General features: G+C 41.6%; 2 protein-coding genes and 1 pseudogene across 16 annotated transcripts in view; 2 read left to right on the forward strand and 1 right to left on the reverse strand.

The window, feature by feature from the left end:
• Positions 1-21817, forward strand: part of LRRC37A (leucine rich repeat containing 37A) — an 89751-nt gene that overhangs the window by 62324 nt on the left and 5610 nt on the right. For 6 of the 12 annotated variants that reach the window (XM_047437205.1, XM_047437200.1, XM_047437206.1 and 3 more), the window contains 4 exons: positions 11955-12026; positions 12586-12660; positions 18025-18143; positions 20083-21614. In XM_047437205.1, the coding sequence (XP_047293161.1) occupies positions 11955-12026; positions 12586-12660; positions 18025-18143; positions 20083-21614 (1798 nt within the window). Of the gene's footprint in view, positions 1-11954; positions 12027-12585; positions 12661-18024; positions 18144-20082; positions 21615-21817 lie in introns of those variants that run through there. The other 6 variants (XM_047437197.1, XM_047437199.1, XM_047437201.1 and 3 more) reach the window with 3 other exon arrangements.
• Positions 1-21817, reverse strand: part of ARL17B (ARF like GTPase 17B) — an 87604-nt gene that overhangs the window by 36184 nt on the left and 29603 nt on the right. For 2 of the 4 annotated variants that reach the window (NM_001330240.1, NM_001363805.1), the window contains one exon: positions 19295-20231. The exons of the other annotated variants lie outside the window; for them this stretch is intronic. In NM_001330240.1, the coding sequence (NP_001317169.1) occupies positions 20203-20231 (29 nt within the window). In that variant the 3' untranslated portion in view covers positions 19295-20202. Of the gene's footprint in view, positions 1-19294; positions 20232-21817 lie in introns of those variants that run through there. 4 annotated transcript variants of the gene reach the window in all.
• RN7SL656P (RNA, 7SL, cytoplasmic 656, pseudogene) lies at positions 9312-9592 on the forward strand (annotated as a pseudogene).

Raw genomic sequence — 21817 nt, forward strand, 5'->3', positions numbered from 1 at the left:
ATAATTTTCAATGCAGCTCTTAGTTCCCCTGTAATAGGAGCTGAATGATGACAATTTGGCTTTGTGCGCATTGTGTCTTACTTTCTAACTTGAATAGGACCTGTAGAGCAGTGAGCTCCACTTCCCTCTGAGAATCCCACGCTTCTGGAGCTCCTGGCTGTACCAGCTCTGGGCATCCCCAGGGTTTATGCTCACCGGTCAGTGCTGGTGTGACATGATGGCTGAGCACCGGCACTGTGTCCAGCGCATTGCTAGGCACTAGACACGTGCTCTTTCATTTATTCCTCAAATTGCTTTGTGCTGTAAACGCTACCCAGAAAGGCTCATGTTCATTACTCAAGTCACTTCACCAGAAAGTGACAGAGCCAGAATTCAAACCCAGGTCTGCCAGATTCCAGGTCCCTTGCTTCTTCTGTTGTTGCTCATTGCAAGGGAGTCTTCTTCAAGGTTATTCTCAGGACTTTGATTAAGATACAGGCTCACAGCTGGGCATGGTGTCTCATGCTGTAATCTCAGCACTTTGGGAGGCCAAGGTGGGTGGATCACTTGAGCTCAGAAGTTCGAGACCAGCCTGGCCAACATGGTGAAACCCTGTCTCTACTAAAAATACAAAAATTAACCAGGCATGGGGACGGGCATCTATGATCCCAGCTACTCTGAAGGCTGAGGCAGGAGAATCACTTGACTCCAGGAGGTGGAGTTTGCAGTGAGCCAAGATCACACCACTGCACTGCACTCCAGCCTGGGCAACAGAGTGAGACTTCATCTCAAAAAAAAAAAAAAAAAAAAAGGAAAAAGGCTCACCATTTCAGATTCTCTAGATTTTGCCCCTGAAAAAGCATTTACGTGATGCAGTCCGAGGTCTTGTATGGAGGAGCTTGGTGTGGGGAGATGTGTGGCTCACGAACCTATGTAGGTGAATAAAGGAAAGAGGTTACTTTCTCCCCAAGTACATCGCGCATAGTGGGTGAGGGTCTAGGTCATCTGCTTATTTCTTTGACTACCTTCTTCCATGGAACCAGTTTTCCCTGACAGCCTTGGGATTCTAGCATAGATCATTTTGGAGTTTGTCATTTAAATTTATTTTCACGGCCTGCTTTGGACATTTTTTCAGCTAGAGCTGTTAGGATTTCAGTACATTTAAGACAGTGATGACATGCTCCAGTCCTTTCATCTCTGTCTCCTCAGTTAATAGAAAGGAAACATAGCTCATCTATCTGGACCTGTACAGAAGAATTTGGAGGGAAAAAAAAAAACAGGCAAGAAATGTTCCCTTATTTTGTGAGCTACCTTTATTCTGTCCCATTGTTCTACAGCAAAAGGCTTGTATAAAAATATTTCAGTTTTCCTCATCTAATAAGGCATATTTAATAAAATTATTTAGAGCAGTACTTCTTAAACTTTTACTCTGAGACAGTCTTTGAGGCTGAAAAAAAGCTTGCCACATTTTACTTCCATAAAGATACCAAAAAGGCGATGGACTGGGAGTCAGTGCACCTTAGTTTAATGTATAAAATGAAGGACTTGAACCAGAAATGGAAATGGTCATCTACTGTGAATCTAAAAACACTCGAGGCTGGGCGCGCTGGCTCATGCCTGTAATCCCAGCAATTTAGGAGGCCAAGACAGGCAGATCGCTTGAGCCCCTGGAGTTCAAGTTCAGCCTGGGCAACAAAGTGAGACCCCAATCTCTACAAAAAGACTTTTAAAAAGTGGAAACATAAATATAAATAAATAAAAACATTCATATCATTTGGTTTGTGGAAAAGAGTTGCTGTAGAGTCCTCAAACTTGAGCCATTGAGCCAGTTCTCACTCAGTCTCTCCATGGCCCAGGCACAACCTTAGTCAAGAAAAGAATGCCTTAGAACAGGAGGAAAAGAGGATAATATCAAATGGCCCTATATTTTGATTTCATTAGGGACAAATGCAAAGATCCTAATGTCAGCTGGAGAAGAGCTTCCTAGTTCAGAGGTAATGCTGAGCTCAAGGCTATGGATGAGCTATCAAGAAAGAGGGAAGGTTGGAGAGTGAGAGAATTTTGGAGGAAAGATAACAAACTTTGCCAAGTTGTTTGGCTACATACTGCCTTACAGTCATTATTTTTGGTGTTTAGAAAAAAATAGAAACAGGGTCTCACTTTGTTACCCAGGCTGGTCTCAAACTCCTGGGCTCAAGCTCTCCTTCTGCTTTGGCCTCCCAAAGTGCTGAGATTACAGGCTTGAGATGCTGTGCCCAGCCTACATTCATTTTTAATAGCTGGGAGGAAAGTGGGCAGAGGAAGATATAGAATGAAGGGGTAGCCGACTTTGTACAGAGCCCACCAGTGGTCTTACAAGTTTTCATGCCAAAAAAAAATCACGAAGGATATTTAAAGCCCTAGTTTGAGAATCCATACTTAACCAGTCATGTAGCACTCACATTCTTTCTCTTTGTAACATCATCTTATTGAATATTAGTGTTACAAAACAAGTTAATGGCACTGAAAAACCATCTGGAATAGGAAGAGGAGGGGGATCACAAGGCAGGACAAGCTGTGTGGCTCCCAGCCTCGCCACTGACTCACTCTGATCTTGGTCAAGGGAGAGTGAATCTTCACTCCTCTTTTTTCCATCTGCCAGCATGTTTGGTCTTCTGGCACCTGGTGTTCTATACAGTACAACATGCTTCTTTGTGTTACATTGAGACTTGATCCACGTACCATCAACGCAGTATTATAAAGTGTACAATTCAGTGGTGGTTAGTATATTCTCAAGGTTGTATAGCAAACAATCACCATTATCTAACCCCAGAACATTTTCATCATCCCAAAAAGAAACATGGTACCCATTAGCCATCACTCCCCAGTGCTGTCTTCCCGCAGGCCCAGGTAACTACTAATCTACTTTGAGTCCCTATGGATTTGCCTATTCTAGATCTTTCATATAAACGAATCATACAGTATGTGGCCTTTTGTGTCTAGTTTCTTTTCACGAAGCATGTTGTTTCTAAGGTCCTCCCATGCTGCAGCATGGATCATTCCTTTGCAAGGCTGAGTGATATTCCATTGTATGGAGCCATCACTATATCCGTTCATCCATTCATCACTTAGTGGACATGTGGTTGTTTCTACTTTATTTTGGCTTTTATGAATAATGCTGCTATGGACATGCATGTACTACTTTTTGCGTGGACATGTTTTTAATTCTAGGGTGCATCCCTAGCAGAATTGCTAGATCGTATGGCAACTCTTATGTTTAACTTTTTGAGGACCTGTCAGGCTGATTTCCACAGTGGCTGCTCCATTTTACACTTCCATCTGCAATGTTTGAGGGTTTCAATTTCTCCGGGTCTTTGTCAACACTGTCGTTGTCTGTCTCTTCTCATAGCCATCCCAGTGAGTGTAAAGTAGTATCTCGCTGCAGTTTTTGATGGACATTTCCCTAATGATTTAAGACATTCAACATTTTTATGTGTATATGAGCCATTTATATAACTTCTTTGAAGAAATATTTATTCACATCCTCTGCCCATTTAAAAAATTGATTTGTCTTTTTATTGAATTATAGGAATTTCTCTATATCTTCTGGATACTCTGGATATTAGACCTTAACAGATAATTTGCCAATATTTTCTCTCATCCTGTGAGTTCTGTGACTTTCTTGCCAGTGTCCTTTGATGCACAAAAGTTTTTAATTTTGATAAAATCTAATGTATCTATTTTTCCTTTGGTTGTTTGTGCTTTTGGTGTCATGTGTGTGTATAAAATGTCTTATTCTTCTTTAAAAAGGTTCAGTGTTTGGTTTTAAATCAGGCTGTGTCCCTTTCATCTGTCTGACATTCTTGTCACCATGTCAGGCTGCCTTCAGCTAGTAATACTTCATTAAATTCAAAAGACAAAATTGTTTTAAAAGAAAAAAAATCCAGTTTGGAGAAGAAAAAACTGTTGTCTAATTTAAGGTCATGAAATTTACTCCCATGTTTTTGTGTAAGAGTCTTATCGTTTTGGCTCTTACATTTAGGTATTTGACATATTTTGCATCAATTCTTATAATCGTGTGAGATGTAGGGGGTCCACCTTCATTATTTTGCACATAGATGTTCAGGTGACGCCATTGCACTCAAGCCTGGGCAACAGAGTGAGACTCCAATGGAGACGGGGTTTCAGCACGTTTATCCGTTTATCAGGCTGCTCTCGAACTCCTAACCTCAGATGATCCACCTGCTTCAGCCTCCCAAAATGCTGGGATTACAGGCATGAGCTACCATGCCCAGCCAATAAATGAAAACTTTTTCACTCAAAAAAACAACAATTGTAGTGAAACCATAGATCAGTTTGGAGAATCATGCTATTATTATCTGCTTCATGTTTACAGAATACTCCGTTGAATTTGGTTTGCCAGATTTTGTCAAGCATTTTTCCATCTACATTCGTAAGAAATACTGGTCTGTAATTTTTTGTGTGTGATGTCTTTAGTTTGGATACCAGGTTAATATCACCCTCATAGAATAAGTTAGGAAATGTTCTCTCCTCATCTGTATTTTGAAAGACTTTATGAAGGATTGGTGTTAATTCTTCTTTAAGTATTTGGTAGATTCACCAGTGAGGCTGCCTGCTGGTCTTCAGCTTTTCTTAGTGGAAAGTTTTTTGATTACTACCTCAATCTCTTTACTTGACATAGGTCTGTCTATTCAGATTTTCTGTTTTTTTCTCAAGTCAGATTCAGTAGTTCATATCTTTCTGGTAATGTGTCTTTCATCCAGCTTATCCAATTATTAGCATATATTGTTTATATGTATAATCCTTTTTATTCATATTATAATCCTTTTTATGTCTCTAAGAACAATAGTAATGTCCCCTCTCATTTCTAGTTTTAATAATTTGGTCTTCTGTATTTTTGCAGTGCAGTGGCTCATACCTGTCATCCTAGCACTTTGGGAGGCTGCGGTGGGAGGATTGCTTGACCCCAGGAGTTCAAGGCCAGCCAGGGCAACATACTGAGAGCTTATCTCTACAAAAAAAATTTAAAAGTTAGCTGAACGTGGTGGCACATGCCTGTAGTCACAGCTACTCAGGTGGCTAAGGCAGGAGGATCACTTGAGCCCGGGAGATCGGTGCTGCAGTGAGCCATGATTGTTCCACTGCACTCCAGCCTGGGAAACAGAGTGAAAACCTGTCTTGAAAAATGAACAGTAAGAAAACAAAATGTTTGTGGCCAGATGCAGTGGTGCATACCTATAATCCCTGTACTTTGGGAGGCCAAGGAAGGAGGATTGCTTGAGGCCAGGAGTTTGAGACCAGCCTGGGCAACATAGTGAGACCCTATCTCTAAAAATTTTTTTTAGTTAGCCGAGTGTGGTGGTGCGCACCTGTAGTCTCAGCTACATCTTAATTTTATAACGTTGTAGTTCAGATTAATTCCAACTTTGTTTCAATGGTATACAAAAACTTTGCTTCTCTAAAGCTCCACTCTCACCCCCTCCTTTATACTGTTATTGTCACACATTACATCTTTATATACCTTATGTTCATCAACTAGATTTATAATTATTGCATTATGTAAGTATCTTTTTCTTTTTTTTTTTTCTTTATTTTGGGACAGAGTCTCACTCTGTTGCCCAGGCTAGAGTGCAGTGGCACAATCTTTACTCGCCGCAACCTCTGCCTCCCAGGTTCAAGCGATTCTAGTGCCTCAGCCTCCTGAGTAGCTGGGACTGCAGGCACGTAACACCACACCCAGCTAATTTTTGTATTTTTAGTAGAGACAGGGTTTCACCATGTTTGCCAGGCTGGTCTCAACCTCTTGACCTCAAGTGATCCTCCAGCCTCAGCCTCCCAAAGTGCTGGGATTACAGGCCTGAGCCACTGCGCCCAGCCAGTGCTTTTTATTTCTTTGTGCAGATTCACGTTAGTACTCCTTATAGGGCAGGTCTTCTAGCAACAAAGTCTCTCAGTTTTTATTTATCTAGAATATCTTAATTTCTCTTCAATTTCAAAGGTAGTTTTGCCAGGTATAGAATTATTGGTTGACAGTTTCTTCAGCACTTTGAATATGCCATTTCATTGCCTTTTGTCCTCCAGTGTTGTGTGTGGTTGCTTTGTTTTTAGACAGGGTCTTGCTCTGTTACCCAGGCTGGAGTGCAGTGGTGCAACCACTCACAACGTTGCAGCCTCCACCTCCCAGGCTTAAGCAATGCTGTCACCTCAGCCTCCTGGGTAGCTGAGACTACAGGCATGCACCACCATGCCCAGTTTTTTTTGTTTTTGTTTTTTTTAATTTTTTTTTATTGATCATTCTTGGGTGTTTCTCGCAGAGGGGGATTTGGCAGGGTCATAGGACAATAGTGGAGGGAAGGTCAGCAGATAAACAAGTGAACAAAGGTCTCTGGTTTTCCTAGGCAGAGGACCCTGCGGCCTTCCACAGTGTTTGTGTCCCTGGGTACTTGAGATTAGGGAGTGGTGATGACTCTTAACGAGCATGCTGCCTTCAAGCATCTGTTTAACAAAGCACATCTTGCACCGCCCTTAATCCATTCAACCCTGAGTGGACACAGCACATGTTTCAGAGAGCACTGGGTTGGGGGTAAGGTCATAGATCAACAGCATCCCAAGGCAGAAGAATTTTTCTTAGTACAGAACAAAATGGAGTCTTCTATGTCTACTTCTTTCTACACAGACACAGCAACAATCTGATTTCTGTATCTTTTCCCCACATTTCCCCCTTTTCTATTCAACAAAACCGCCATTGTCATCATGGCCCGTTCTCAATGAGCTGTTGGGTACACCTCCCAGATGGGGTGGCGGCCGGGCAGAGGCGCTCCTCACATCCCAGACGGGCATGCCCAGTTAGTTTTAAATTTTTTGTAGAGACAGGGTTTTACTCTATTGCCAGTGCTGGTATCCAACTCCTGGCTTCAAGCAATTCTTGAGCCTCAAGCCTCCCAAGGTACTGGGAGTACAGGTGTGAGCAACCATGTCCAGCACCTGCATTGTTTTTGAAGACAAATTAGCTATTAATCTTATTGAGGATCCCTTGTATGTGATGAGTTGCTTTTCTCTTGCTGCTTTCAAGATATTCTGTCTTTGGCTTCTGTCAGTTTGATTACAGTATGTTTAGATGTGGATCCCTCAGTTTTTCCTACTTGTAGTTCCTTGAGCTTCTTGAATATGCAGATTGTTTTTCATCATGTTTGGGAAGTTTGGGGCCATCATTTCTTCAAATATTCTTTCTCCTTTTTTCTGTTTTTCTTCTCCTGGGACGCTCATTATGTGTATGTTAGTAAGCTTGATGATGTGTTCCACAAACAGGTCTCTGAGATTCCATTCACTTTCATTCATTTTTATTTCTGTTCCTCAGAGTCAACAATCTCAATTAACCTTCAAGTTCCCCATTCTGTCTTCAGCCTGCTGTAATGTGCCATTGAGAACCTCTAATAATTTTTCCATTTCAGTTACCATACTTTTCAACTCTAGAATTTCTATTTGACTCCTTTTTATGGTTTCTATCTCTTTATTGATATTCTCTATTTGATGAGACATTGCTTTCATACTTTCCTTTAGTTCTCTAGTCTACAGAACTGAATCGTTTCTCTTATCTCTTTGAACATATTTTAAATAGCTGAATTAAATCCTTCTCTAGGCCAGGCATGGTCGCTCGTGCCTATAATCCCAGCACTTTGGGAGGCTGAGACTGAGGTTGAGGCTGAGGCCAGGAGTTCAAGACCACCCTGGGTAACTTCGCAAGACCCCACCTATAAAAAATAAAAAAATCTTTGTCTAGTAAGTCTAACATCTGGTCCTTCTCAGGGACAATTTCTGCTTATTTCTCCCCCAACCACGTGTTTGGGCCATACTTTGTTTCCTTGCATCTTTCATAAATGTTTGTTAAAAATTGAATATTTTAAATAATATAATGTAGCAATTCTGAAAATCAGATCCATGCTGCCAGGGTTTGGTGTTACTCCTGCTTGTGTTAGTAGTTGCTATTTATTTAGTGACTTTTCTGAACTTCTTCTGTAAAGTCTCGCATTATATGTCATGTGTTCCCACTAAAGTCCCTCCTCGGTTAGCTTACCGATCAGGTAATGATTAAATGAAGATTTACTTAAATTCTTGGAACTGATAAGTCTCCTAGTTTTTGCCAAGGGGCTCTGTGTACATGTTGGGGCATACCTTCAGCACTCAGCTAGACAATTTACAGCCATGCCTTAGCTTTCACTTCTTGCTTGTGCAGAACCTCAAGGTGTCAGCCAGGGGTGAGAGTTTATGAACTTAGTAGGTCTTTCCTGACCATGCTGACAGTCTGCCCTATGCATGCGCGTGACATTCCAAATTGCCAGGAATATGTCTTATGGACTTCTAGTTTCCCAAGCATATATCAGAGTGTTTCAAATTCCTGTGGACATCTTATTCCTCAGCTTTTCCTATTAAGCTTTTTGATTAGGCTTTTTTCCCCCAAACTGTTATTCATTGCCGAATACAGTTGCCATGTTAAAACACTTGTCTGTAATTGTTTTCCAAAAACACCCTCTGTGGAGAGGCTTTAGCACTAGACAGCTTTCATTCTGGTCAAATAAAGACAAACCTTTCAAATGAGGTCTTCCAGGGAACCACCAGACAGATGACATCATGACAGTTAACTGAGAATAAGGCTTTGAAGGAGCTCCAGCTCCATTCTGCTCCCTCTGGTTGGGGATGTGGGCTGTTTTCCAAGGCGACTACTGAGCTAGAGGGTGAGGAATGGTCTAAGGCAAGTTAACACAAATCTCACTGTTCTTACAGAAATTTTTTTTGAATAAATGCTCCTTGGGTTGCTGCAAGACTTTGGTTACATTTCTAGAGTTCTGAAAAAGTTTATTGTGGTCAATTTTTTTTTTTTTTTTTTTTTTTTTTTTTTTTTTTTTGCTATTTTTTTTGGTATTTGTTGCTTTTATGAAGGGATGAATTTTTGGATGTCTCTTTTTTTTTTTTTTTTTTTTTTTTTTTGAGACAGAGTCTCACTCTGTTGTCCAGGCTGGAGTGTAGTGGCATAATCTCATCTCACTGCAAGCTCCACCTCCCGGGTTCACACAATTCTCCTGCCTCAGCCTCCCGAGTAGCTGGGACTACAGGCGCCTGCCACCACGCCCAGCTAATTTTTGTATATTTAGTACAGACGGGGTTTCACTTTGTTAGCCAGGATGGTCTCGATCCCCTGACCTCGTGATCCGCCTGCCTCAGCCTCCCAAAGTGCTGGGATTACAGGTGTGAGCCACTGCGCCCAGCCTGCATGTCTTTATTCCACCATTTTCACTGATGTCACTTACGACATGATTTTAAATCTCTGAAGGCTCACTGGGCACATGCCTGTAGTCCCAGATACTCGGGAGGCAAAGGAAGAAGGATCCTTTGAGTCCAGGAATTCTGGGCTGTAGCATGCTATGCTGATTGGGTGTCCGCACTAAGTTCAGCATCAGTATGGTGACCTCCCGGGAAAAGGAGACCACCAGGTTGCCTAAAAAGGGGTGTACCAGCCCAGTTCAGGAATAGAGCAGGTCAAAACTCCCATGCTGATCACTAGTGGGATCATGGCTGTGAATAGCCACTGCTCTCCAGCCTGGGCAACACAGTGAGTGAGAATGTGTCTCTTAAAAAAAAAAAAAAAAGTCTCATTGACCATAGACTAATAAACTATTTAATCATGGGAAATGATTAGGGGAAAGACATAAAAAGAGAAACTGTAATCCACTTTTTTTTGCTCTGTCGCCCAGGCTGGAGTAGAGTGGCTTGATCTTGGCTCACTGCAACCTCCGCCTCCTGGGTTCAAGCAATTCTCCTGCCTCAGCCTCTGAAACAGCTGGAATTACAGGCAAGCACTGCCGTGCCCTGCTAATGAGAAATTGTAATTCTCATAGAGGTCCTCCCAGAGGAGTAGAAGAAGGTTGAAAGGCACTTCTGTATTTAGTCTTCTCACAATTAAGGCTGGGCCCAGTGGCTCACACCAGCACTTTGGGAGGCCAAGGCAGGCGGATCACTTGAGATCAGGAGTTCAAGACCAGCCTGGCAAACATGGTGAAACTCCCATCTCTACTAAAAACACAAAAAATAGCCAGGCGTGGTGGTGCGTGCCTATAGTCCCAGCTATTTGGGAGACTGAGGAAGGAGGATTACCTGAGCTTGGGAAGAGGACGTTGCAGTGAGCCAAGATCACGCCACTGCACTCCAGCCTGGTCAATGGAGCAAGACCCTGTTTGGGTGGGGAGGGGAGGGGAGTGGAGGGGAGAGGAGAAAGGAAAGAAAGGAAAGGAAAGAAAATAGAAAGAAGGAAGGGGGAGGGAAGGAAGGAAGGAAAAAGAGAGAGAAAAAGAATGAAGAACAAAAATGAAAATTTTTTAAAAACCTAAGGTTAAAATAAACCCTTTTTCTTCATACAGATTAAACACGAGTTCAAATTACAGCTTTGCTGCTTAATAGCTTGGTGACCTAGGACAAGTTATCTAACCTCTCTGTGCCTCAGTTTCCTCATTTAAAAATAGGGCAATAATAATATCTACCACATAAGGTATTTGCTGATCACAAATACCTGGCAACCCAGTAGATACTCACTGTAATAATTATTATTTTTATAATTTCTGCCTAAGTACAAAGATGATTCTTGGGTTAACCTAAAGGTAGATTTTCTTTTATTTCTTCCTGTTTCTTTTATTTTTCTTGTTCACCTTAAAGAATTAAAAAGAAAATCGATTCCAGCATTTTGGAATAAAAATTTGCATCAAAATCAATTTATTCATTTTATTGACATATGAACAAAATGTCATTTGTTTATTCAATAAACATTTGTTAAATGCCTAATACATTTCAGACATCATGCCAGGCACGGGGATGACAGGGCATGGTGGCAGGCACCTGTAATCCCAGCTACTTGGGAGGCTAAGGCAGGAGAATTGCTTGAACCTGGGAGGCGGAGATTGCAGTGAGCCAAGATTGCACCACTGCACTCCAGCCTGGGTGACAGAGTGAGACTCCGTCTCAGAAAAAAAAAAAAAAAAAAAAAAATGTGGTCTCTGCCCTCAAAGCGCTCATAGTCCAGGAGCCTGACAAGTGGACAGGTGATTACATGCAATGTAAGAAAGGCTGTGATGTCATACAAGAAGACAAGTGGGAGTATGGTTTTGACCAGTTCCTCCTCTTAGATTTATTCCTTCTTCTTTGGCTATAAAGCAAAAGAATTGGTCCTATTTTTTTTTAACTGTGCAAATTAAACCATAAATTTTAAAAACTTTATAAAGATAAAAGACAAGCAGCCAGCCACAGTGGCTCATGCCAGTAATCCTATCAGTTTGGGAGGCTGAGGCAGGTAGATCACCTGAGGTCAAGAGTTCAAAACCAGCCTGACCAACATGGTAAAACCCCGACTCTACTAAAAATACAAAAATTAGCTGGGCGTGGTGGTGGGTGCCTGTAATCCCAGCTACTCGGAAGGCTGAGGCAGAACAGGAGAATCACTTGAACCTGGGAGGCGGAGGTTGCAGTGAGCCAAGATCGAGCCATTGCACTCCAGCCTGGGCAACAAGAGCGAGACTCCATCTCAAAAAAAAAAAAAAAAAAAAAATAGATGAACAAGTTGAATTATGATGAGCAACTTGAATTATGGAGGATGCTAGAAATACTGTTTCCTCCACAGTCAGGGCTTCCTACCAACATAGTCACTTTTAGGGTTTTTGACCTGAAAAGTTCTGTGGCATATTTTTTCTTTGCTATCCACTTTTTTTTTCCTTGTAGTTCTTCCCCGCGTTCTATCCTTTATCTTCTAGAGACCTTGGTAGTTCCCATAGGAATAGTGCTTTACGGAGTCTAATGGTGATTTCTTAGGTAAAGACAGGAAACATTTTTTTCTTTTTTACCTACAAGTTCCATATCAAAAAATGAATGTAAACTTTTCATGCAGTTTTACACATTGAAAATGCAGGTTATTTTAATTCTATTCCATTTTTCAGAATTCTCAATCACAATCCTCTGACAACTGTTGAAGATCCGTATCTCTTTAAATTGCCAGCATTAAAATATCTGTAAGTACTATAGTACTCTCATGAGTCAAGAGATGATTTATGCTTTTTAAATTTTTCATCAAAGCTTAAGTATTTTGCATTTAGGCTAAAATGTCATAATTTAAATTTTAACTGGGTTATTGAAAAAAAGTTATTGGCGAAGAAAAAAATTAAGAGGATGTATAATGGTCAAGACAGCCAGCAGGGGAAGAGAACAGCATTGAAGAACCCATACAGATTTGGAACATGTAGACACATGGAGGAATATTATTTAACCAAGAAAGCAAAGGGGAAAAGGTGTTCATTATTCTAAAAATAAAGAAAAGAGTAAATAAGATGGTGAGTGCAATATGAAAATGAGAAGATAATGGTAAAAAAAAAAAGTGTCAGTTCTGCTCTTGAGTATCATTAATTTGATGATGCAAATCAACTTTTAATTTCTTTAATAAGAGCTCCCTGGAATTCTACAGCAAATAAAGTCTTGAGCTGGCTTGTTTAATAGAGAAGCCAAAATTGAATTGTTAGGTACAGAATTTTTTATTGGGGCTCATATCATGAATGTTTCGGCTTTCTTCTTCAGAGACATGGGAACAACGCTAGTCCCACTTACAACACTTAAGAACATTCTCATGATGACTGTTGAACTGGAAAAACTGTAAGTTATTTTTTTCTGAGATTTATTTTTACTTAGTTGGTTCTTTAGGTTTGTTTTATTATTTTCTTAAGTCAGGTTCATTGAGGTATAATTTTCATATAGTAACATTCACGCTTTTTAAGTGTACAGTTTGATGAGTCTGACAAATGTATAGTTACATAACCACCACCACATTCCCAATATAAAGCATTTCTGATGCCTCAAAAAGGCCCCTACTGTCCCTTTGTAGGCAATCCCATCCTCCCACCATCAGCCCCTGTTAGCTACTAATCTGATTTCTGTTCCTATACTTTTGCCTTTTCCAGAATGTCTTATAAATGAAATCATATAGCACATAGCCTCTTGTGTTTGGCTCCTTTCACAAAGCCTAATTTTTTTTTTGTTTTTGAAATGGAATCTCACTCTGTCGCCCAGGCTGCAGTGCAGCGGCATGACCTAGGCTCACTGCAACCTCCACCTCCCAGGTTCAAGTGGTTCTCCTGCCTCAGCCTTCCGAGTAGCTGGGATTACAGGCGCATGCCACCACACCTGGCTAATTTTTGTATTTTTAGTAGAGACAAGGTTTCGCCATGTTGGCCAGGGTGGTTTCGAACTCCTGACCTCAAGTGATCCGCCTGCCTCAGCCTCCCAAAGTGCTAGGATTACAGATAAGATCCACCTTGCCTGGCCTCACTCAGTAGAATTTTTTTTGAGATTATGCTACCATCCATGTTGTTGCACCTATCACTACAGCTGGCCCTCCATATCTGCAGGTTCCTCATCCATAGATTCAACGAACCATGGATGGAGAATATTTGGAAAAAATAAAATATATAAAACAACAATACAACAATAAAAACAGTAGAAAATTTAAAATACAGTATAATTATGTACATACCATTTACACTGTATTAGGTACTTAGAGTATACCTGAGGCTGTATACAAACATTATGTCATTTCATAAAAAAGACCTCAGCATCTGTGGACTTTGGTAACTGCAGGGGGTCCTGGAGCCAATCCCCTGCAGACACCGAGGGACAACTGTTCACTCCTTTTTATTGCTGAGTAGTATTCCGGTTGTGTGGAAATGCCATCTCTACTAAAAATGCACAAATTAGGCAGGTGTGGTGGCACATGCCTGTAATCCCAGCTACTCAGGAGGCTGAGGCACGAGAAGTGCTTGAACTTGAGAGGTGGAGGTTGCAATGAGCCGAGATTGCACCACTGCACTCTAACCTGGGCGACAGAGTGGGACTCTGTCTAAAAAAAAAAGTAAGAAATAAAAATGTTTTCTGAAGAGCAGAAGTTTTTAATTTTGACCAGCTTTAAGTTAGCATTTTTTTCTTAAATGGCTTGTGATTTTTTGTTTCTTACCTAAGAAATCTTTAAGAACCTGTTGTCTAATCCAGCGTCTAAAAGATTTTCTCCTATGTCTTCTCCCAGAAATGATACACATTTAGGTCTATGATCCATTTTGAGTCAATTTGCATATGTGATGTATCTTTTTTATTTTTTATTTTTTTGTAGAAATGAGGTCTCAGTATGTTCCCCAGGCTGGTCTCGGACTCCTGGTCTCAAGTGATCCTCCTGCCTCACCTCCCAGAGTGCTGAGATTACAGGCATGAGACACCGTGCCTGGCCTTCTTTGCAGGATATATATATAGATATAGATATATATATAAATCAGCCAGGTGTGGTGGCACACGCCTGTAGTCCCAGCTACTAGGGAACCTGAGTCAGGAGGATCACTTGAACCCAGGAAGTGGAGGTTGCAGTGAGCCAAGATGGCACCACTGCACTCCAGCTTGGGTGACAGAGCAAGACCCTGTCTAAAATATATATATATTTATATATATGTACGTGTATATATGTATATGTATGCCTGCAGGGCCCTATTGTGAGTTTGTTACACAATTTACTGCAACTTCAATTGTGCCACCAGCCCCCACAATATGGCAAGCTAAATAGAGACTCAGTTATGCTAGGGCTGGTTGAGGGAATTTTGCAAGATTAGCATGGAAAGGGCCCTTCATTTAGCACTCTGCTCCGTTCATTTTTGTCAGGTCACTTTCTTATCTTGACCAGGTTGTCAGATCTCTTTTACTGCTCTAGCCTCACTTTCCTCAGCCTCCTGCAGCATCTTCCCCATCAGCTGGATCCCTTCCTCTCTGGATGAAGTCCCCTTCATCGACCAGCTTTCTCACTTAGTTCTCTAAGATAGTGAGGATCTGTCTGCTTTTTTCTTGACCATTATTGGATAGGAAAAATGCTCTCATCCTCTGTAATGATTTGTCACCAAGGCCATAAAGACATTGAACTAACTGTCTTATGGGAGTTCATTATTGGAAGTCTTCAGGAGTTTACACATTTATGTACAAAGTAAGTAGGCCAGCTCATTTGAGTCTTGGCTCATGTGTAATGATCTTTCATGTGTATTGAAAAATTATTCTCAAGTATACCTCAGGTCATTTACAGTCTCAAAGACTTGTCAGTATACTTTAAAACAATCCTGGGAACAGTTCTAGATTGAAGGAGACTAAAGAATCATGTACTAAGTGTAATGTCTGATGTTTGATTGGATTCTGAATTTTTTAAGCCATGTTATGATTAGGACAATTGTGAAAATGTGTATACGGACCGCATAGTAGACAATGATAATATGAAGTTCCATTGAGTGATGATAGTCCTCTGGTTATGTCGGAGAATGCCTTGGTTCTTAGGGGCTGCACACTGAAGTCTTCAATGGTGAAGGGTCATTATGTCTGCAACTGACTCTCAAATGGTTTTGTCCAGAAAATGTATAGACATACACACACGGAAAGCAAATGTGGCAAAGTATTAGCAACTACTGATTCCAGATGAAAGTTATACAGGTGTTCATTATACCATTTGAAAATGTTTCCCAGCCATTCTAAGGCTTAAAGGAAAAAAAGAAAATGTTTAAAATAAAAAGTTGGGGGCAGAAAAAGAATACCAAAAATTTTGGGCTCATGCCTGTAATCCCAGCACTTTGGGAGGCCAAAGAGAGAGGGTTGCTTGTGCCCAGGAGTTCGAGACCAGCCTGGACAACATGGTGAAACCCCATTTCTACAAAATATACAAAAATTAGCCAGGTGTGGTGGCACACACCTGTAGTTCTAGGTACTCAGGAGGCTGAGGTGGGAGGATCACTTGAGCACAGGAGACAGAGGCTGCAGTGAGCCAAGATTGCACCACTGCACTCAGCCTGTGTAACAGAGCGAGACCCGGCCTCAAAATAAACAAAAGAAACACCTTTGTGGCAGAGGTAAGGTTGCTATACAACAAAATGCTGGGTTACGGTTCCGGGTCCATTCCATATGAAGATCAGAGGCTTCCACTGGACCCAAAGGAATACTACTAGTCACTTGTGATTGTTCCTTTATAGGTTTGAAAGATGTCTCAGGCCAACTTATTGGATGCAGTTTTAATCTAAAACTCTATACATTGTACCCCCAACTCACAGACTTCTTGTATCCATGAAACCCTCTTCTGTTTTCATAGTCTTAATATGGCCCCAATAAAGCCATCCTTTTGGAGGACTCAGAAAAGGCCCCCCACAACCTCTGCAACACAATAATTATAGTTAACTCTTATTGAGCACTCACTGTGCACCAGGCATTTTTCAGGTATTGATTCATTTGATCCTCAAAATTCATTAGAGGTAGGTACTATTATAATGACAAGGCCAAGGAACAGAGATTAAACAATTTGCCCAAATTCACATTATTAGCAGAGCTGAGATTGAAGCATAGTCTGGCTATGGAATCTGTATTCTTAATGACCATGCTATACTGCCTAAGATTAACCTTTTACTTCAGTTACAGGGATTGTTTTTATCTCTCTGAAAGTGCCCCCAATAAGCCACAACAATAAATTAATCAATTGTCTCGGTCACCTCTTTTGCCCAAATTTACGTATTGGAAAAAATTCAAACAAGCCAGAAAGATGAAAGAATAGTACAGAATCCAATCAAAGATCAGGCACTGCATGTCATGTCTTCATTTCCTTTAATCTAAAACATGCCTCTACTTTCTTTGATCTTCCATGACATTGGCATTTTTTAAGAGTCAAAGATAGCTGTCTTGTAAATTGTCCCACAATCCGGATTTGTCTGTTTCCTCATGATGAAATTCAAGTTAAGCATTTTTGGGAAAAATACTGCATAGGTGATGTATCCTTCCTGCCTCGTAACCGCAGATGGCCTGTAATACTAAGTTTGATCACTTGACTAAGGTGATCTTCCAGGTCTCTCCATTGTAATTATTTTGCTGGCTACAGTGGCTCCCACTTGTAATCCCAGCACTTTGGAAGGCCGAGGTGGGAGGATTGCTTGAGCCCAGGAGTTCTACACCAGCCTGAGCAACATGGGGAAACTCTGTCACTACTGAAAATACAAAAGTACAAAAAAAAAAAAATTAGCTGGGCATGGTGGTGCAAGCCTATACTCCCAGCTACTCAGGAGGCTGAATTTGGAGGATCCCTTGAGCCCAGGGGGGTTGAGGCTGCATTGAGGTATAATTTTGCCACTGTATTTCAGCCTGGGTGACAAAATAAAAATAAAAATAAAAAATAATAATTTTCCCCTTGGTAATTAATAAATAATCTGTGGGTTGTTACTTTGAGTTCAGTGAAGATCCTGTTCTCAAATGTTTTTTCACCCAAATGTGCATCAATGATAATCCTTGTCTGAATGAATTTGTATTACACTGACGGTTGCAAAGTGACACTTTTAAAAATTCTGTCATTCCTTCTACATTTACTAGCTGGCATTATTTCATTGAAGAAGAACTCCTCCTCTTTCTTTTTCAATATCACTCTTCGTGGATTCTTCTTTATATTAAATATGTGGTAACTTATTGTTGTTATTCTTTTGAATGCTCAAATTGTCCAGATTTGACCAATGCAGTCTTTGTTATTTTTTAACTCCGCAATCCAGGTTAAACTATTTTTAATGCCCAGAGTAATTTATAATATTTCCCACTCCCAACAGGAATTGAGAAAGGGACTCCAGAAGTTGGGGGCTTATTCAGACTTCTTAAAAGTCTACCTTCTTCCTCTGTACTTTCAGCCCAAAGTGAGACTTTTGAATTGGGAAGAGATACTTCTGAAACTACTAATCACTGTCACCCAATTCTAATCCCAACCATCTTTATTCTAGGCATACCATACTCACTGCCATGCTTACCCTTCAGTTGGGCACTTTTGTCCTCCTTCCTATTGGTCTTCTGGTTCCTACCCAACTGTCCAGTCCATAGGCTTCAATGACACCTTTTTCCCACACCTGTGGTAGCGTTGGCTGCCTCCTTTACCTACTCAAGTAACCGCTTTACCGCTAATTTATTGCTCTCTGTTTTCATCTATAGGATCTTACCTAGCCATATGGCCTGCTGCCTCTGCCAATTTAAAAACAGCATTGAGGCTGTCTGCAAGACAGTCAAGCTGCATTGCAACAGTGCATGTCTGACAAACACCACACATTGTCGTGAGTCCAAATTGCGCGGTGATAAATTGTTACATTAAGTATTTGTTTTTAAACTTTTTATTTTTAATGATGATAAAATTTTAAGCTAATGACATAATTGCTTTATTTTTATTTACTCATTCAGAGTTAAACTCCCTCAATTTCCGAACTACTCCCTTGCTGAAAGTCAGGTTCTCAGTTACTATTACAAAATTTAATAATAGAACTGTTCCATATGCAGAAAGGACCAAGACAAAGGAATGGGAAGGCTAGGGAATAACATTAACATCCACACACTGTATACTGTGCTCTCTGCTTGATGCTTTGCCCACAGTGATAATTTCTTCATATAGTGCAATGTAGTTTGTAAGCTGGTTTTAAATCCATGAGATCTCAAGTACTCTCTGCCTTATAGGACAGATGTAGATACGGTTTTGGTCTTTCTGTTTTTACAGTTTTATAAGAGTACAAGTGATGCTGTTTTATTTGAAGCCTGAGAGCTTCTGGTTCCATAACCAGAAATTGCTACCTGGCTCTTCTAATGGAATGGAGGGCTTTTCCATTCTTAGACCATCCAACTCTGAACTTGCTCCGAATCTCAAACCTTTCTGTTCACAGAACAAACGCTCAAGGGCTTTCAAGAGTGTTTCTGTAGATTAGGCTTATTAGCATCAACTTCATGACTTCTAAAATGTGACTGCTTTCATGTCCAGATAGCTTGAATACAGGTATCTACCAGTGATATGGGGTGGAGAATTAATAATGCTTGGTTACATAAAGTCAGTGTTGCTTATTTTTCAAAACTTTTTTTTTTTTTTTTTTTTTTTTACCAATTATGTTATTCCCTTCTCCCCAAGAAGTGGGCAGAAAAGCTTTGTTAACCTCCTTTTACAGATGAGGAAAAACAAGATCAGAGGTGCTAAGTGCTGTAGCCTAGTGCCAGGTCTTCTGGCCCCAATTCTGGGTTCTCCCCAAGCCCATGTTTCTTCCCCTTTCTCACAATCTTTACTTCTTCCTCTGACCCTCACCACCACCCAAAGTACTTTTAATTCCAGAAAAGAAACCCAGCTGCACACTGGCACACCTGACCTTCATGCAGTCAGAAGCTTTGGATGATTCCCCATCCAAAATATTAGAGATGAAATGAAAGCAAAGTAGGCATCTGACAAAAGTTGCTTTTTCCCTTCTGCATTTTAGGACCTCAAGTAATGTTTATCCAGAAACTGCTATCATACCAGGGATTCATTGTGTATTTAACAACATAGGCATACAATCTGGCAAATTTGAAAAACTCTTAACATACACCCCAAATCCCTGCCCAAATTTAAGAACTAGGGTGGACACAGTGCGTTTTTCCATGTCGCATCTTCTGTGATGGGGCTACGATACGTGGGAGCAGAGAATGGGGAGGGTGGAGCGCATGCCAGATGAGGATCTATCAGCAATGGGACGGGGCCTCCACTTTAGCATCTCCACCCTGCTCCTCTCAGAGGACCGCCTTTCATTGCATTCAGCTGTGATGGTAGCACGAACACAGGTGCACCGAGGACGAGGAGAGCAGGAGCCTTGTGCTCTCTCTGCATCTGAGGCAGGACAGCACAGGGTACGGAGCAGTCTGCAGAGAGGCCAGCTCATCAGGGAAGCACTTGTCTTCCACCTTGGGCTTTGACTGAGCACTGGGCAATTGGCCTCTGGGGATCAACGAAATAATCCTAAACAGAGTTACTCTATGTCACACTATGGAATGTTCCAAGTAGGTGGCCGTGTTTTCAAAAGATGTATTTTCTCCTTTTGTTGTTGCCATTTCATAGGTTTAGGATTGGGTGTGTGTTTCTCCTCTCTGAATGGCACTCGAATGTTTGCTGACTCCTACTCTGTGTGACTGGGGTGTACAGCTATGGACTGATGCATCCCATCCCATCATCTTTCATGATCAAAGCAGTCTCTTCTTTTTTGACAGCTGAAGAAGCATCGGTAGGGAATCCAGAAGGAGCGTTCATGAAGGTGTTACAAGCCCGGAAGAACTACACAAGCACTGAGCTGATTGTTGAGCCAGAGGAGCCCTCAGACAGCAGTGGCATCAACTTGTCAGGCTTTGGGAGTGAGCAGCTAGACACCAATGACGAGAGTGATTTTATCAGTACACTAAGTTACATCTTGCCTTATTTCTCAGCGGTAAACCTAGATGTGAAATCACTGTTACTACCGTTCATTAAACTGCCAACCACAGGAAACAGCCTGGCAAAGATTCAAACTGTAGGCCAAAACCGGCAGAGAGTGAAGAGAGTCCTCATGGGCCCAAGGAGCATCCAGAAAAGGCACTTCAAAGAGGTAGGAAGGCAGAGCATCAGGAGGGAACAGGGTGCCCAGGCATCTGTGGAGAACGCTGCCGAAGAAAAAAGGCTCACGAGTCCAGCCCCAAGGGAGGTGGAACAGCCCCACACACAGCAGGGGCCTGAGAAGTTAGCGGGAAACGCCGTCTACACCAAGCCTTCGTTCACCCAAGAGCATAAGGCAGCAGTCTCTGTGCTGAAACCCTTCTCCAAGGGCACGCCTTCTACCTCCAGCCCTGCAAAAGCCCTACCACAGGTGAGAGACAGATCGAAAGACTTAACCCACGCTATTTCCATTTTAGAAAGTGCAAAGGCTAGAGTTACAAATACGAAGACGTCTAAACCAATCGTACATGCCAGAAAAAAATACCGCTTTCACAAAACTCGCTCCCACGTGACCCACAGAACAACCAAAGTCAAAAAGAGTCCAAAGGTCAGAAAGAAAAGTTATCTGAGTAGACTGATGCTCGCAAACAGGCTTCCATTCTCTGCAGCGAAGAGCCTCATAAATTCCCCTTCACAAGGGGCTTTTTCATCCTTAGGAGACCTGAGTCCTCAAGAAAACCCTTTTCTGGAAGTATCTGCTCTTTCAGAACATTTTATAGAGAAGAATAATACAAAACACACAACTGCAAGAAATGCCTTTGAAGAAAATGATTTTATGGAAAACACTAACATGCCAGAAGGAACCATCTCTGAAAACACAAACTACAATCATCCTCCTGAGGCAGATTCCGCTGGGACTGCATTCAACTTAGGGCCAACTGTTAAACAAACTGAGACAAAATGGGAATACAACAACGTGGGCACTGACCTGTCCCCCGAGCCCAAAAGCTTCAATTACCCATTGCTCTCGTCCCCAGGTGATCAGTTTGAAATTCAGCTAACCCAGCAGCTACAGTCCCTTATCCCCAACAACAATGTGAGAAGGCTCATTGCTCATGTTATCCGGACCTTGAAGATGGACTGCTCTGGGGCCCATGTGCAAGTGACCTGTGCCAAGCTCATCTCCAGGACAGGCCACCTGATGAAGCTTCTCAGTGGGCAGCAGGAAGTAAAGGCATCCAAGATAGAATGGGATACGGACCAATGGAAGATTGAGAACTACATTAATGAGAGCACAGAAGCCCAGAGTGAACAGAAAGAGAAGTCGCTTGAGGTGAGGACCACACAGAAACATGAGACCCAGATTTCCCATCATTTAGCATATCCCAGGAAAGTGCCCACACAGAAGAGTCTGGGACTCCCAGGCCATAGCTTATCTTGGCCATGTAACTTTGGTCATGACAGTGATCTCCCACTTTGCTCATGTAGAGAGAGAAATAGATTAGGGCACAAGATGAACTGTAGGCCGGGGGTGGT

This window comes from Homo sapiens, chromosome 17, assembly GCF_000001405.40.
Source record: "Homo sapiens chromosome 17, GRCh38.p14 Primary Assembly".
Classification (NCBI taxonomy): Eukaryota; Metazoa; Chordata; class Mammalia; order Primates; family Hominidae; genus Homo; species Homo sapiens.